Source organism: Homo sapiens, chromosome 4 (assembly GCF_000001405.40).
Source record: "Homo sapiens chromosome 4, GRCh38.p14 Primary Assembly".
NCBI classification, from domain to species: domain Eukaryota; kingdom Metazoa; phylum Chordata; class Mammalia; order Primates; family Hominidae; genus Homo; species Homo sapiens.
The window spans coordinates 101,104,810-101,120,518 of NC_000004.12; the positions used below are offsets into that span (position 1 = coordinate 101,104,810).

Consider the following 15,709-nt stretch of genomic DNA (forward strand, 5'->3'; position numbering starts at 1 on the left):
AGGTCACAGTCTAATCAAAATGGAACATTTCACATATGAGTCATTTTGTCATTTTTGTATGTATGTGGCAAGTCCCTGGGTTGTAGTCTCAGACTCTTGAAGTTTAATTAAAGAGCTGTTTTTGAAGATGAGGACTCCAATACATGCATCTTAGAACTTTTAAATGCCCCATAATTCCTACACTTCATATGTCACCAACATCCAGTTTGATCCTTTGCTTGAATTTCAAAAGGAGCATACTAAACAAAACATAGCAAATTTCATAGTTCAAATATCTAGATTAATTGTAGACTTTAAAAAAATCTGCTGAGGAACAAATTAGTAAACTGCTTCTTGACGTCTTTTTTTCTTTTTTTTCCTTTTTTTTTTTTTCTTTAAGATGGAGTCTTGCTCTGTTGCTAGGCTGGAGTGCAGTGGCATGATCTCGGCTCACTGCAACCTCCGCCTCCTGGGTTCAAGCGATTCTCCTGCCTCAGCCTCCGGAGTAGCTGGGACTACAGGCGCATGCCACCATGCCCAGCTAACTTTTGTATTTTTAGTAAAGATGGAGTTTCACCATGTTGGCCAGGATGGTCTGGATCTCTTGACCTCGTGATCTGTTTGCCTCAGACTCCCAAAGTGCTGAGATTACAGGTTGAGCCACCACACCCAGCAACATCTTTACTTAAAAAAAAAAAAGAATTCTAAAATGCTCTAATTAGAAAAAGTTTAGAAAATTTCAGGTGGTTTGAGGACAGAGATTCAGAAGCCTGCACTCTTCAAGAAAAAAAACAAAAAACAAACAAAAAAAGGTAAATAAAGAACAATAAGATTAAAGAATATTATCCAAAGATGGAGTTGGTGGCACAAAGAAGGAAAAGTCCAACTATGCCAGCTGTTACTCAAGCCACACATGATGTAGTATCGTACTTTATTATAAAATTAATAAGCAAGTGTTGTGACCTTTGATTACCTTTAGAAAGATAGGAAGTTGTGAAAAGTCACAAATGTTATAATAAAAAAAAATTTCCAACGCAGCACAACATCATTTGACTGACAAAAATAATCACTCCAACATGATAGTCTTGGGATTTCCTCACTTAGAATGCAAGCTTCAAGGAAAGTAGGATGCCTATTTCATTCATCCTGAAAAACTTTATTAGGAGTGCTACAAATGTTAAATGAATAAGATGAATTTAAGAGTTACTAAAATAATTTTTAAAATATTCACTTAGATTCTACATAACCCAGGCCAGAATACAGGTTTGCACACTTTGTAATCTGAGCACTTTGGGAGGTCAGGGTGGGAGAATTGCTGGAGCTAAAGAGATGGAGACCAGCCTGGGCAACTTCGTAAGACCCTGTGTCTACTAAAAATAAAAATTAACTGGGCATGGTGGTGTGTGCCTGTAGTCCCAGCTACTTGGGAGGCTAAGGCGGGAGGATCACTTGAGACAGGCAGATTGAAGCTGCAGTGAGCTATGACTGTGCCACTGCAGAGAATGAAGCCACAGTGAGCTATGACTGTGCTACTGCATTGTAGCCTGGGTGACAGAGGGAGACCCTGTCTCATTTAAAAGAGAGAAAAGAAAGAAAGAAAGAAAGAAAGAAAGAAAGAAAGAAAGAAAGAAAGAAAGAAAGAAAGAAAGAAAGAAAGAAAGAAAGAGAAAAGAAAAGAAAAGAAAAGAAAAGAAAAGAAAAGAAAAGAAAAGAAAGAAAGAAAGAAAAAGAAAGAAAACATTCTATATAACCCTAATTCAAGGAGAAGAGCAGAAATCCTTGTCCTCCCATTGCTGTTTATTGCCTACCACAGTCTTCCTTAATCCTGGCCACATACGAAATCACCTATGGCCATATCAGCAAACTGTGGCTCAAGGGATACAAGTTGAAGGAATTGGGCCATTTCTGGGAAACATCCTTAAACAAGAAGATATACCCTTCTCTTTCTCCCTTTCCTCCTTGTTGAATATTATGTGGAGAAATGATGGTTGAAACTGATGTAGCCATCTTGGGTTACTAGTTTGTCTGTGGAATGAAGCCATGAAAATCAGAGCAAGAAAGCAGATGGAGCCTAGGCCCTGGCACCACGCTGTGCCACATCAGTCTTGGATTGCTGTCTGTGGGCTTTTACACACAGAAAAATATCTATCTTGTCCAAACCACCATTATGTAGGGGTTTTGTTTTGTTGTTGTTAATCCTGGCAGACACCAGTCCTAATGTGATATAAAGGTCTTACAAAATTAGTACTCAATTGCTTTTCCATCAGTTAAGCTGGTCAGGCTGGCCCCAAGAACAAAAAAACAAGGTTAGCAGAGTTCACTAATTTCTTCCTCTGTACTTTTGCTCACTTTAATTTCCTTCCTAGCTAAAACTTACTTGTTCTTTGATTCAGTCTTCCCAAAACATGTGTGCTCTCAATATTCTTTCACTTTTCTCTAATCCAATCACACTTACTATTTTGTATCTCCTTTATCACAAGGTTTTAATAATCCATTTAAATTACTGACCTCTGGATAATCACATATTCCAGGCTTCTGATTCTAAACAGATTTTTATGGTTCTGTTTTGCAACGTAGATTTAGGTTTCTAGAGAGCAAGAATGTATGTTACATTTCTTTAAATTCCTCACAGTCCTATTCATGGTGCATATACATTTTATATGCTTGACCATACTTGTTTATCAAATGGAGGAAATACCAAGAATTTAACTTCTCTTTTGGGATTTATATACCATCACCACTCCTTCTTCCCTCATCATCACCAGGAATAATTAAGAAATCTGTGATCTTTAAATGCAGACGGTATTATTATGTTGGCGGAAATACATATATGTCTACATAAACTTTTCTGTGTCTGCGTGTAGTCAGTGACTAAAGGTGAATTAAATAACCGAAAAATAAAACTGATATAATTGTATAAACAAAAGCTGTTTAAGGATGACATGCTTTTCAACCTTAAATATCCCTTTAGCAAATAAAACACTGAAATAAAAATTTTGAAATATAGAATGTTTTTCTATGATTATTATGAATATATGATGTTGGTGTGAGACAATAATGTTGATTTCTCTCTTTAATTAAGAATAATCATTTTCCTTTTTAATGATCTCTTTTGATAGCCCATGTCAGCTACTATACATGAGGTCTGATTCTTTAAAACTTATTCAATTTCAAACCACTTCTTTCAATAAATTATTTATTAACACACCGTGTTAGGCACCAGGAAGAACAAAGATATGAATAAAACAAGGTCTCTGCCTTTATTTTGAATGTAGTTTTACTTACCTAAAGCAGATGCAGATGGGAGGCTGTGGAAGAACCTCTATTCAAAGGTTATCTGTTTTGTTTTAATTAATGAGTTTGACAAATTACCCTAGTTAGATGACAGGTGCCAAAAAAGACAAAATACAGCAGCTGTAAGTGTACTCACACATAGACAACCACAGACAGAGACACATGCAGTTTGCTATCAATTTACAAAGGTAAGTTACTGTCTCACAATTATAAGGCATAAACATGCAAATACATTCCTGCTTATTTGATCAACATTGATTATTTCTTTCAATGGAAAATGGAATTATTTATTGTAAAGCAAAACGTAATTTTTGAAAATTTGCAAATATATAAAATGTACAAAAGGCAAAATCTTACTATTTACCATTTTTTGGCATCTCTATTAAAAAATATGGGAATCACGCCGGGCATGGTGGCTCACGCCTGTAATCCCAACACTTTGGCAGGCCGAGGTGGGCGGATCATCTGAGGTCAGGAGTTTGAGATTAGCCTGGCCAACATGGTGAAACTCCATCTCTACTAAAAATACAAAAATTAACTGGGCATGGTGGTGGGCGCGTGTAATCCCAGCTACTCAGGAGGCTGAGGCAGGAAAATGGCTTGAACCCAGAAGGCAGAGGTTCTGCTCACTAGCAGAGATCACGCCACTGCACTCCAGCCTGGGCGACAGAGTGAGACTCCGTCTCAAAAACAAACAAACAAAAAACACATGGGAATCAACTGAAAATATAATATGTAATATCCTATGAATTAAGTGAATTAAATTTCATTGTTAGAGGTTTCCATAAGGCAATAACATTTACTGCTTTTATTTTTTTGAGATACTGTTAATCCATAACTGAACAGCAAAGAAGACATGATGTAGACTTACTTCAATACTGAAGTACCCTCTGTCAACATAGTCCCCTAAGAAGAGGTAGCGAGTGTTGGCAGGAGATCCCCCGACTTCAAAGAGCTTCATCAAATCAAAGAATTGTCCATGAATGTCCCCACAAACTGAAAGAAACAAAATTCATTTTATGGTCATATTATGTTAGGACTTTGAATTAAATAATAAAATTACAAAATTTTAGAACCAGAATTAATTTCAAGTTTATCTGAGCCAAAACATTCTTTTGCAGAACAAGAAGTACGACAGAAAAGCTAAGTATTTTGCTCAAGTTTCCAAATTTAATTAGTGGCAAACTTGGCTCTAATGTCTGAGTCCACTAGTATACAGATTAACTAAAAAAAAAAAAAAAAAAAAAAAGAAGAGAATAATAACAATAATGGCTATCATTGTGCACTTAAAAATTCTTTATGAGACGCTGCCAGGATGTTTACACACATTTTTTAATGTAACCCTAAAAATGCCATGAGATATGTTTTCATTTTGCAGGTAAAAGACGACACCAAAGAATGGTTCAGGAATTTGGCATAATCTATGTACAACTGAGGTCTGAATACATGGCCACTACACATTACTGCCTCCTGAAGAGAAAGAAATGTAGATATGTATCATAAAACCTGCATTTCACTGAATCTAGAATGTTATCCATTGTAAGACACATCATTAGTTTACGTACCACTAAGGCAAAAAAAAAAAAAAAAAACTCCAATTAAACTTAAATTATAAAGGAGCATTTTTACAAAATGTTAAAGTGAAAAAAACTACAATTATTAAAAGCTGTGACACATAATACAAAAAAAATTACTGGGAATTGGTATTTCTTAACATTCTCACTTTCTCTTTTAAACCAACTTTCTTGGAAGAGCTATTTTGTCTCTTTTAAAAACTCACTTATTTAATACTTATTTCGTTTCCACTTTCAGAACTCTAAAAATAATATTTTTATCTCAGTTATACAGATAATGAAATAATATAGCTTAGAGAGGTTATGTGGCTTGGTAGGGTCACTCCTAAAAATAAATGACCCAGGGCTTAAATTCAGATTCACCTGATCCAAAGCTTTTCCTGTCAGCCACCACATTATGGTATCTTTGATATTTTTATGTATTTATACTAATATATATGTGTGTATGTGTATATATATTGTGTAATATTTTAAAAATTTTGTGCTTGAATGGTGAACATGATGTGGCTGCTTCTGCAACACTAAGAGTTACACAGAATGAACGCATTCGTGAATAAGAAATCAGGAGGCCAAAAGTAGATCTTAACACATTATATCCTGCAATTACAAGCAAGTTATTAAAATGTTTTAAATTTTATTTCCTTACTTGACAAAAGATCATAGAAAAAAAGAGTCAAGTGGGTTCAATGATGAAATAATTATAAAACAATGAAATAAAAATGTTACATGCTATAAATTCCTGTCTTTACTGTCAAGAATTAGCTACTAAGAACCCACAGCACTATAAGCATGAAGTAGGTACAGGTGGATTCCATTTTAGAATGTCTGCACTTGGTAATCTTAAATACTAACAAAATGGCTGTAAATAACAAGGATCTTTACTACTAATGCATCCCTTTGGTAGACTCCAATCATATAGCTTCTTCCCTCTCTTGAGCATGAGATACACAGTAGAAACACCAGAAACATATTCTTCCATTTTTGAAAAAATATGTTTTAAAACATAGTTTATAAATAATTTTTTTATTCTTAGAGCTGAGCAAATAAATCCATATTCTGAGGCATTGAGAAGTTGGTTTGTGAGAGACATATGTGCTTTCTTGTAATCATATGTGATATCTAAACCAAGGGGGAATAAATAGAGAACACTGGATGGGATGGTCCAAGCATTGCCAGGCATGGATGCCAGTACCTGCTCTGGGGACTTCCACAGCTATAATTGGAGCTGTAAAAACTAACATAAATAGTAAAACACTTCTTAAAACTTTTATATATTTTATATATGTGTGTACATATAAGATATGAGCATAATAATTTTAAAAATATCCATCTTAAAAACTTAATTAGCACATTTTTGTTACCAAATTTTTAAATAGGCAAGGATAAAGCTTATTAGCTAACAAGTAATAATATAATTACTCTTCTACCTATGTATCTATTGAAATTATAGTTGGTATGGATTACTTATCACAAGCACCACTTTCTCTCAAATTGTAGGAAACTTTATATCTGTCATACATATGACATGTTTCAAACCAAAAATTACAAAACAGAAAATATATGGCTGGAAACCATGCCTTCACGTGCCCTCCATTAGGTTTGGAAGTTGAAGGAAGGAACTTCAAGGAAACAAATTATGAAGCAAGACATTTCCTTGCAACGAATTTTATGCAGCCCTTCACATGTCAATGGGTGTGACGCTGACACTTTGTATAGCCCATGTCTTGCTACTGGCTCTCTCCCTCTCCTTGCTGCCTAACAGAGAGGTGAGGGTCAAACATTTGTAAGTTAAGCTCAGGGACAACAGGAAGCCAAGTGAGGGGCTAAGACATAGGCTTCAGACATTATTTGGAATCTCTATGGCAAGTTTAACAGTCATATTTTAGGCTGTTATTAAAACATCCCCAAGACAAAATGGTTAATCAAAGGCATTAGAGGCGGTGTGGGGTATCATTTAAAGGCCTAGTCTCTGGATCCACACTACCGAGGCTCCAACCCTTGCTGTATTACTTACTATCTGAGTGAACTTGGACAATTTACTCAACTTCTCTGAGCTTCAAATGTATTTATCTATAAAATGGGGGTGATACTGGTACCTTACATTATTGGGCTATTGTAAGAATTAAATGTGTTAATATCGTAACAAGCTTAGAAGAGTTTCTGGAGTCTAATAAGAATTTAACAGATGCTGTATCAAAATGGCATTTCAAAATGGCTGTATTTAAAATGTCAAGGTCCCAGACAGAATAGAACTCCGGTGCTTGGAGGTGGGAGGAATAAGGAGTGGAAGGCATTCTGGAGACATTCTAAAGCATCTTCTTCCTTTCTCTCCCCTTCTAGCTTCTTGTATCTTTTTTACTCTTCCATTTTAATTCCTGGCCATGTCTGAAGATTCAAGGATAATTGATTTTTACCTCTGTATATGTAAATGACATAAATACCAAGACATTAATTTAGGTTGTAAACTGCGGGTTAGGCATTAAGCAGTTATAGACACTAACATACAACTGAAGCATAATCTGGCAGCCAGAATGAAAAAAAAATGTCTCTAGACAATGCAAATATTATAAGGATATTTTTTCTTTTGCTTAAGTATAGAAGTACATTATCATGAATTTAGTTTTACAAAAACAAAATTAATCTCTTCTTCCTGGTCTATAATAACTTTGTGATAAGAGATAATCTCAATGATTTACAATATCACTGCAATAATTGGATTTTGGCTTGATGATATAAAATAGAAAAAAGTAATTGCTGTAAACTCTGCATGGAAAACAAAATACCCTGAAATCTAGCTACACATATCATCACACTGTCACTGACTTTACCTTAGAATAGCCATAGGTCTGCTATAGAAAGACCACCTATCATAATGTTCAGTAAAGGAAAATGACGTGCATATAATCATAGAAAAATTCAAAGCCCAACAAAACAGTAACTCAAAATAAAACATAATGGAAAAAATGGAGGTATTTTCTTCCTCGAATTTTCATAGGCTACCTTCCTTTCATCCATAAAGTCTCACATACACGTCACATGCTCAGTAAGGTCTTTCTTGACCATCCTGTACAAAGGAGCAAACTCCCTCCACTATCATCCTTCACAGTAATTATGCCACAATTAGCATTATCTAATTGATTTATTTGCATGCTTGTTTCTTCTCTGATTCTTCCCACTGAAATATAACCACTGCTAAGCTGGATAACTTGTCAGTCTTGTCCGCCATATCCCCAGTGCCTAGACACTTGTGTGCCCAGGAGGCACACAAGAAACACCTGCTGTGCTAGGATTATTCTATTGGGCCTACGCTATGCTTAATTTGAAAATCCTCAACTAAGAGGCCAGAGATTTTGAGATACCCTTGTGATTGATAGAGATTGACAAGTTTGTGGAGTTTGCTTTGATGGAAACCAAAGGCCTTCAACTTATCTGAGATTGTGCTTATTTTAAGCCTTTAAGTCACAGGTTTCAATACAGTGTGCAGCAAGTCTGGGGTAGAATGTGGAACCTCCATACATCTTATGGTTGTTTTCCCACCTAACTCTACATCAGAACCACTTGGAGAGGTTTTGAAACTACAGATTTATGGGCCCTGAATCAGAATCTCCAGAGATGCAGATTCACTAACAAGCTCTTGGATCTATCCTTACCTATTCAGTATTACTAAATACACCTATGCTTTTGAGCCTCTCATAGCACACACAGCCTTCATTCTGTGTACTAGTATGGTCCCCCTCACAGGGGCTATGTGTGGAGGAGATGAACACTGGAAAGGCAACCTCTTTCATTGCTCATTCTAGGTTGCTGTGAGATTAGGACTTCACTATTATATGAAAGAATCGTAAGTGATTGATGGCATCTAGGAAGGAGGGATGAACCTAAGAAGGCTGATAACACCACATGTCTTTGGGTATTTCATTGTATTTATTGCTCAGGCCTTGGATATTTCAGCTGTAAGATAAGGGATTTATCCTTAAGTCCTATTATCTCATTCACCATTTTGATATCAAATTTCAGGAAGAAAGTGGTCAACATACTAAAGTATCCAGGAGATACCCAAAAGGATGGAGGCTGGGCCCATGACATCACACAGAGTAAAGGCTTGCCTGGCTATAATATTCACTTACTATTGGTCCCCATCCTCCATCTTCTTGGTTACCCAAGATACTGGTGTCCAAAGAGCAGCACAATATGCCAATGCCAACTGATAATACAAGCTGTCTGCTTGGTTGCTCAGGGCCCCCAAATCCTCAGGAGGCTAGGTCCTTTTTTCTTCTACTTTACTTGGCCTTGACAGCACTTCTTGAACAACCAGGCTCTGACAATTTTTTTGCCCTTAAGGCAAGTTCACACTTAAATGCTTCCCACATTCTCCTGGCTTCCCATTATTTGCTTCCTATTCCTAATTAGAATGCTGGTGGGTGGGGTACCCAAATACTTATGATGTTTAAAAAGCATCAAAAACATAGATGCACAATACAAGTATTTAAAACACTCCTAGCGCTCTATGAAAATATCCATTCATCTGGCTGAATATTCCAAAAATTTTATTATGTCTTCAGCAGGTTATTAACAGAACTGTATATACTTATGTCAGAAATTTAGAGAGTTATAGCATTTAACAAAATGAACACATTAAATATATTGAAATAAAACATAAGTTTATTTTTCTGGAGCATTACTATTCATATCTGTTAGCAACCTGATATGACACAAATATTGATGGTTATTTTCCCTGTGAGAAATAACCTGTCATTTGTTTTGTACTGGAAAAGTAAGAACTATCAGATACACTGAGCTGTTTAATCTATTTGGTGCAATTAATCTAATATAATCTATCTTGGTAATTTCCCTAAGTCGGGTCACTCAGCAGTTCTGAATATCGCTAATCTAAACAAACGGTGGCAAGAGTGGCCAATATCCTGTGATGTTTATACACTATCACTTATCTCTTTCTATCAGAAAATACATATCTTCTGCCTAAATAATCAACTACTAATTAAGGCCTAAGCAAACAATTACTTTTGCATAACTGCCTTTTAATATTGCTTCCTTCCCTCCATTAGCCCATTTTAAGCAAAACTTTATGGGAAATAATTTTCACAAAGGAGTGGTGCCAAAGACTTTTGATCTAAGTTGAAGCATTTTGAGGTTTGAAATAGGAACAGAAAAATAACATGCAGAAAGTATTTGTCTTTATTTCTTAGGGAAAGGAAGAGCTTCCCCCAACCCCAATATCACTGTTGGAAAGCTATAAAGCTTTGAAATCACAGGCATGGGGGTTCAAGTACATACAAACAAAACATAAATATTAACGTGTGTGTCTATGTGTGTGTATAAAGCCACCCACCACAAAGGAGGAATTCAGAGACTAATGGGTGGTGTGGTAGTCCAGGAGTCATTAAACAGAAGTTCAGGACTTTACTCACTATAGATTACAGCAAAGTAGTGCTGATGAGAGAAAAATAAGAACCAAGGGCAGTGACAAGGGACTCTTTGTAGTTAGCTGAGTAAGCTCTTGCAATACACAAACTGAACAATGAATCAGTCACAGGGCGAGTCTAAGAATCCCTAAAACCAGTGTGCTTCTAAGTAGAGAAGATAATAGCCAGCATATTGAGGACAAAGAGGCCTTTGAGAATAGAATCTTGGCAAAGGAGAGAGGACAGGTCAGAAAGATAAACATGACCAGAACCAAGCATTTGCCTTGGATCTTCTATCCAGAGAGATGCTGGTAGCTCTTTAATGAGAAGGGATAGGTGTTCAAAACAAGAACCAATCTTGTTTTATGTAAGTGTTAGGTATGCAAGTCTAAATAAATTTAGCAAATCTACAAATAAATATATATTATAATTTGATTATTTTTTCAAAGAATTATATTGTTTCTAAGTTCATACTGGCAATTAAATTATTGCATTAGAGAATGTAAACCAAAGTAGATAATACTGAACACCTTAGGGTAAGGTTTCACTATAAGAGCTATACAAATAATAGCTTGAAAAGAACTCTGATACAGCTGTCACCCTGAATAGAAGATACAAAACCAATGTAATATAAAATATACATTTTCACATAAAATTACTCAACAATATCTTTCACTTAGTGCAAAGACTTACACATTTGGTCCTATTTACTTGCCTGTATGAAAGGGAAATCCGTTAAAGAACATCATTGGGTCAACTTGTTAACAATGAGCAAAAATTTTATAATATCATATAATTTCATGTTAAAGTTTACGAAAATTAGGTTGTCTGGGGACAGAGGAGTATGTTGTTAAAAATTGTGAAACAATAAATTTACAAACTGCAAATGAAAACTAGATTTTTAATGTATCAGCATTTCAAAACTGTTCAGCAAGACTGTGTCAATACTACGATTTAGAAGTCAAGTGCTCTTAATTCTTGACTCATTATTTATTTTTCTATAAAGACCTTTTAGTTTCTCCAAAATACTGGCTTTTATCATCTTGGAAGACTTGCATGAAGTAGAAAAACTTCTTATACAAGTTTTTCCAGTTCATACTAAACTAACAGATCACAATTTTTCCTTTAGAAAAGACGTTACTGAATCGTTTAGCAATTTTCACCATTGGAGTTCCTCACTACTTTCAGCTTCCTTTACTTCAACCCAGTGTTTTTTCCATAATAGCCACAGTTCCCCAAGACAATAAAATCCATAATGTTAAAGAACTAAATTTATGTCTAATTCTCAGCATGAGGAGATTAATTTATTGAATTTATTGATTTGGTTTTTGGATATTCTATTTACCAAAACTTTCTTCTTTTCCAAAATCTACAATTTTGCAGAGAAAGATTTTGTTTAGAGGTTTTGTTAGAGGTTAACCACAGATATATACTACAAGTATATATCTGCTTCCTCCTGTTGATAATCCAGGGTTATGGAACCATAAGTGGATGGTAAGTTCAAGTACAAACCAGCTAGCCAGCTATGTGTAGTTCATTAACAGAATGCACAAACTTCTAAAATCAGACAATTACTCAGATAAAGGGGACACTGCAGTTTATTACAGCATTTGCTTATATCTAGAAATCTGTATCATAAAATAAACTAAATAAGAAAAAATAACATCGTTCTAATTTACTAAAGAGGTATATTTCAAAATAATATTTTCCCATAGGGAATATTACTTTTTCAAAGGATAAATATGTTTTAGGCACTTTATAAAAAACAAACTGTGAATTATTAACCAGGTCATTCTGGTTTGATGATATAGAACAATAATGAAAAAGTCTCTAAATCAAATCAAAATTTGGTAAATACAGAAATTTCTACCAGCACTTTTTTGGTAATAAAAAATTATATATATATGAAATTGCAAGGATTTTAAAAGAAACAATAAAGCTATAAAATCAAATACAAAACAATAATAGCACCAGTACAGATTAATAGCAGTATTTTAAACATTTCTTTATATTTATGATGCTGTTTTATGAAGATAAATAAACTGTTAGCCAATGTTAATGAGAAACAGTGCAGGGAAATTAAAAAAGAAAGAATAAAATATATTGTAGATTACAATAGTTATTAACAATTACAATAAACCAGTACTAAATACTTCATTCATCCCCTAATTCTCAGTTCGTAACTGTAATCAGATGGAAACAAAACAGAATAGTCTACATGTTAAAAACTATTTTATCAAAGGCCCAAGCATATACAATACCATCATTATGACCACAGTGTACTATTGCAATCAATAAAAAGTAAATTAATGCAACCTATGTTTATGTTTTTGTCCTAAAGATGAGTGTTCTCACCACTGAGATTTTTTTTTGCAGTTTTTCCTCCATTGATTGAATACTTTAAAAGATTTAATTTATTGAATAAGGAATGCATTTTTTTCCATCTGATACCACTATTTTTCCATTTTAGCACCAAATAATATTATAATAAAGATGCCTAATTATTAAGGGTTTATAATAGCATCATAGCATTATATAAATTATAGTCACGGTTGTGGTGCCAATATATAATTACAATATATAATTACAATATACAATTACAATATATAATTACAAGTAAGTATGTATAACATTTATGACAGTATTTAATTAAATTTGTTCATCACCCTGTTCTTGTGTCCAAGTTTGGTCAGTCCTGGAAACCAGTGGCTATTTGATATGTGAATTTATTTACATTATGTAGTTTACAAGGTCCTTGATTATCATCACCAGCCCATCAAGAGTATTGGATGAACATTATAAGTTGATATAATTTCAGCCGAATGTATACAAATTTGATCAGTACATATAAACTACATATAAATATTAATAAGTTATTATTAATAAATTACTAATTTTCACTTTAGAAATACTCATCTCAGGTTTCAGATTAACTCCCTCTAGGACCCTGAAAGATGGACTGTCATTACTGTCCAGATCTGGGGTGTTCGGCTGTCTTAGTGTTTCCACTTTGGGCCTTCCAAGCCTATGTTTCTAGGGCTTTTAAAAAATCTTAGTGTTTCTTAACACTGTGTCTCACTCAGTATTCTTTCATTTCTGGCATTTTGCTTTTTCCTGGATATGTTCTTTCACCCTTTGGAGAGGCAGTATAGTGCAATGGTTAGGAACTAAGACTACGATGCCAGACTGCTTGGTTCCAAAGCCAATTTCCACCACCCAATCAGCTGAGTGACCCTGGAGAATCAGCTAATCTCTCTTTATCTGTTTCTTCACATGTAAAGATGAACATCAAAATAGCACTTCCTTTAAAGGACTATCATGAAACCAGAATTATAAATTAAATAATTGAACATCATTTACTTTAATAGCAGCACATACTACACACCTGGCACTTATTATCACAAGGGTTTGCTATTACTCTTCTTCTTCTTCTTCTTCACTCAGATTTTTTTTGGAATATTATCATCATAATTGCTGTTAGTTTCTGGTTTTTATGTGTATTCCTCCTGTTTGACCTTAGTCAATAAGTGATGCCTTCTTTTTAAATTACTTTCTTATTCATTCTGCTTGAAGTTAGTTTCTGGTTTTTATGTGTATTCCTCCTGTTTGACCTTAGTCAATAAGTGATGCCTTCTTTTTAAATTACTTTCTTATTCATTCTGCTTGAACCAGCTTTCACTGTCTACAGAATGCATAGACTTCTAATTTGCTTTCCCCAATCTCCTCCTTTGCATATGCATACTCTGTTCTTTTTACTACATTTTTAAAGGATTTTACCATCGTGCTCAGTAAATTATGACTTGTGTAACTGGAACAAGAGAGGTATTTGTAAAAGGCCTCTGCTGCCTCATCTATAAGGAGACTCAGAACTTACAGATTTTTTTTTTTTTTTTTTTTTTTAAACAATGAAGCAAGCAATGTAAGGAAGAAAAAAGCTTGGCACATGGTATGTACTAACAAAATGTGAAACAGCAGACAGGGCAGTTATTTCAGAAACTGTCTACCTAAGAAACATTTTGAATGTTCTGCAAGATTTAGATAGATGAATTAAACATCTGTAATCAATGTGGCCATGAGTAAACTACACAAAAAGTTGTTCTATATTTTTCCACATTTTATCCAAATGTATGCTATCATATATTGAAAGCTATTAAGGCTGAAATCAAATAGACTAGGTCTCATACTCCACAATTTCCATTTTCTAAGAGTGGTAATATCTCTAAATGGCTTTGGTGATACTACCAGTCTTTCAGAGTGGCAGCACCGTGACGAGTTTCCAGTTAGTCTCATTTTCTTTTGTAGCAAAGCTCATTTACAAGACCACTGTGTTCCACAGCTATGTAATGGTAGTAATGTTTCAAAAGCTGGAAGTGACGGAGTAAACAGAAGTAATGTAAGACATTTCACCAAATGGATTTTTTGAAAAAACAAAAACAAAAACAAAAACAAAAAAACACAAAACTTTCTTAGATTTCTGGAAAACTCAGTTAAGGAAAATTTTCTACATAGGGAAAAAAAGAAAATCACTCCTCTTCCTTGTCATGATAGTCCTCACATTTTGACAATTTAAAGGATTATTTTGTTTTTAATATTTTAAAATCTTAAGGCAAGCAAGGAATGACATTTAATTCTAAAGTCCACATATTCATTATTAATTTGGCAATTATAGGCAGTGGGAATATCAGCAGAAGGGTTTTGGCTAAAATTGACTTTTAAGTATTCAGCTCCATCTAATTTCCAGTAAGTGAACAAAGCTAGTAAGTGCTATTCTTATATGGCAATATTTAAATGCCTTAAGCAAAGGAATGATTAGACTGATTATCCACTATCACTTCCCTCAGTAAAAATATATGAGCTTACTTGTTATGTGCAGCATATTTGGAAATTAAATATGTAATTGTGAATTGATAAATTATTAAAATATTGTTCAGACATATTTGAAAAGGTTCATTTAAAATCTAAGAAAATCTGTTAAGAAAAAGTGTTATCTGAAAAATAAGTCTGACAAAGGCATTGAACCCATTTATTAATTCTGACTAGATTTTAAAAATCTATCTTTCATTCCCTTACATATCTTTCACTAGGTAGATATTCCAGAAATATTTATTCAGTTAAATATCCAAACAATGAATAAAACACTGAAACATGAAATATTTACTAAATATTCTGTATTAAAAGATGAATAAACACTGAAGACTGGTTGACGTTTCACTTGTGCTGCATTATACTGGGATAATAACAAAAATAAAAATATGGCTTCAAGAAGGGCATACTTGAGAAGATGTAGATATAAACAATGGTACTGAAAAGCATCAGCTTCCTGACATCAGTGGATTTCCCTCTCTGTACTGGAAACTCCTACGGGTTTAGGCCTTAGGTCTCCCGTTGATGTCTGATATGGGCAAATCATTTTATTGCCCATTTCCATCCATCACATTA

At 34.2% G+C, this 15,709-nt stretch overlaps 1 protein-coding gene across 3 annotated transcripts in view, besides 1 other annotated feature; it reads right to left on the reverse strand.

Moving 5' to 3' along the window:
• Positions 1–15,709, reverse strand: part of PPP3CA (protein phosphatase 3 catalytic subunit alpha) — a 324,109-nt gene that overhangs the window by 81,392 nt on the left and 227,008 nt on the right. For all 3 annotated transcript variants that reach the window (NM_001130692.2, NM_001130691.2, NM_000944.5), the window contains exon 3: positions 4,145–4,269. In NM_001130692.2, the coding sequence (NP_001124164.1) occupies positions 4,145–4,269 (125 nt within the window). The remainder of the gene's footprint in view (positions 1–4,144; positions 4,270–15,709) is intronic.
• Positions 9,901–10,722: an enhancer, noted in NCBI's record as "OCT4-NANOG hESC enhancer chr4:102035867-102036688 (GRCh37/hg19 assembly coordinates)". NCBI's record gives its function as "activates a minimal SCP1, AML or CMV promoter by ChIP-STARR-seq in naive and primed H9 embryonic stem cells {active_cell/tissue: H9 hESC(naive and primed)}" and the evidence as "EXISTENCE:reporter gene assay evidence [ECO:0000049][PMID:30033119]".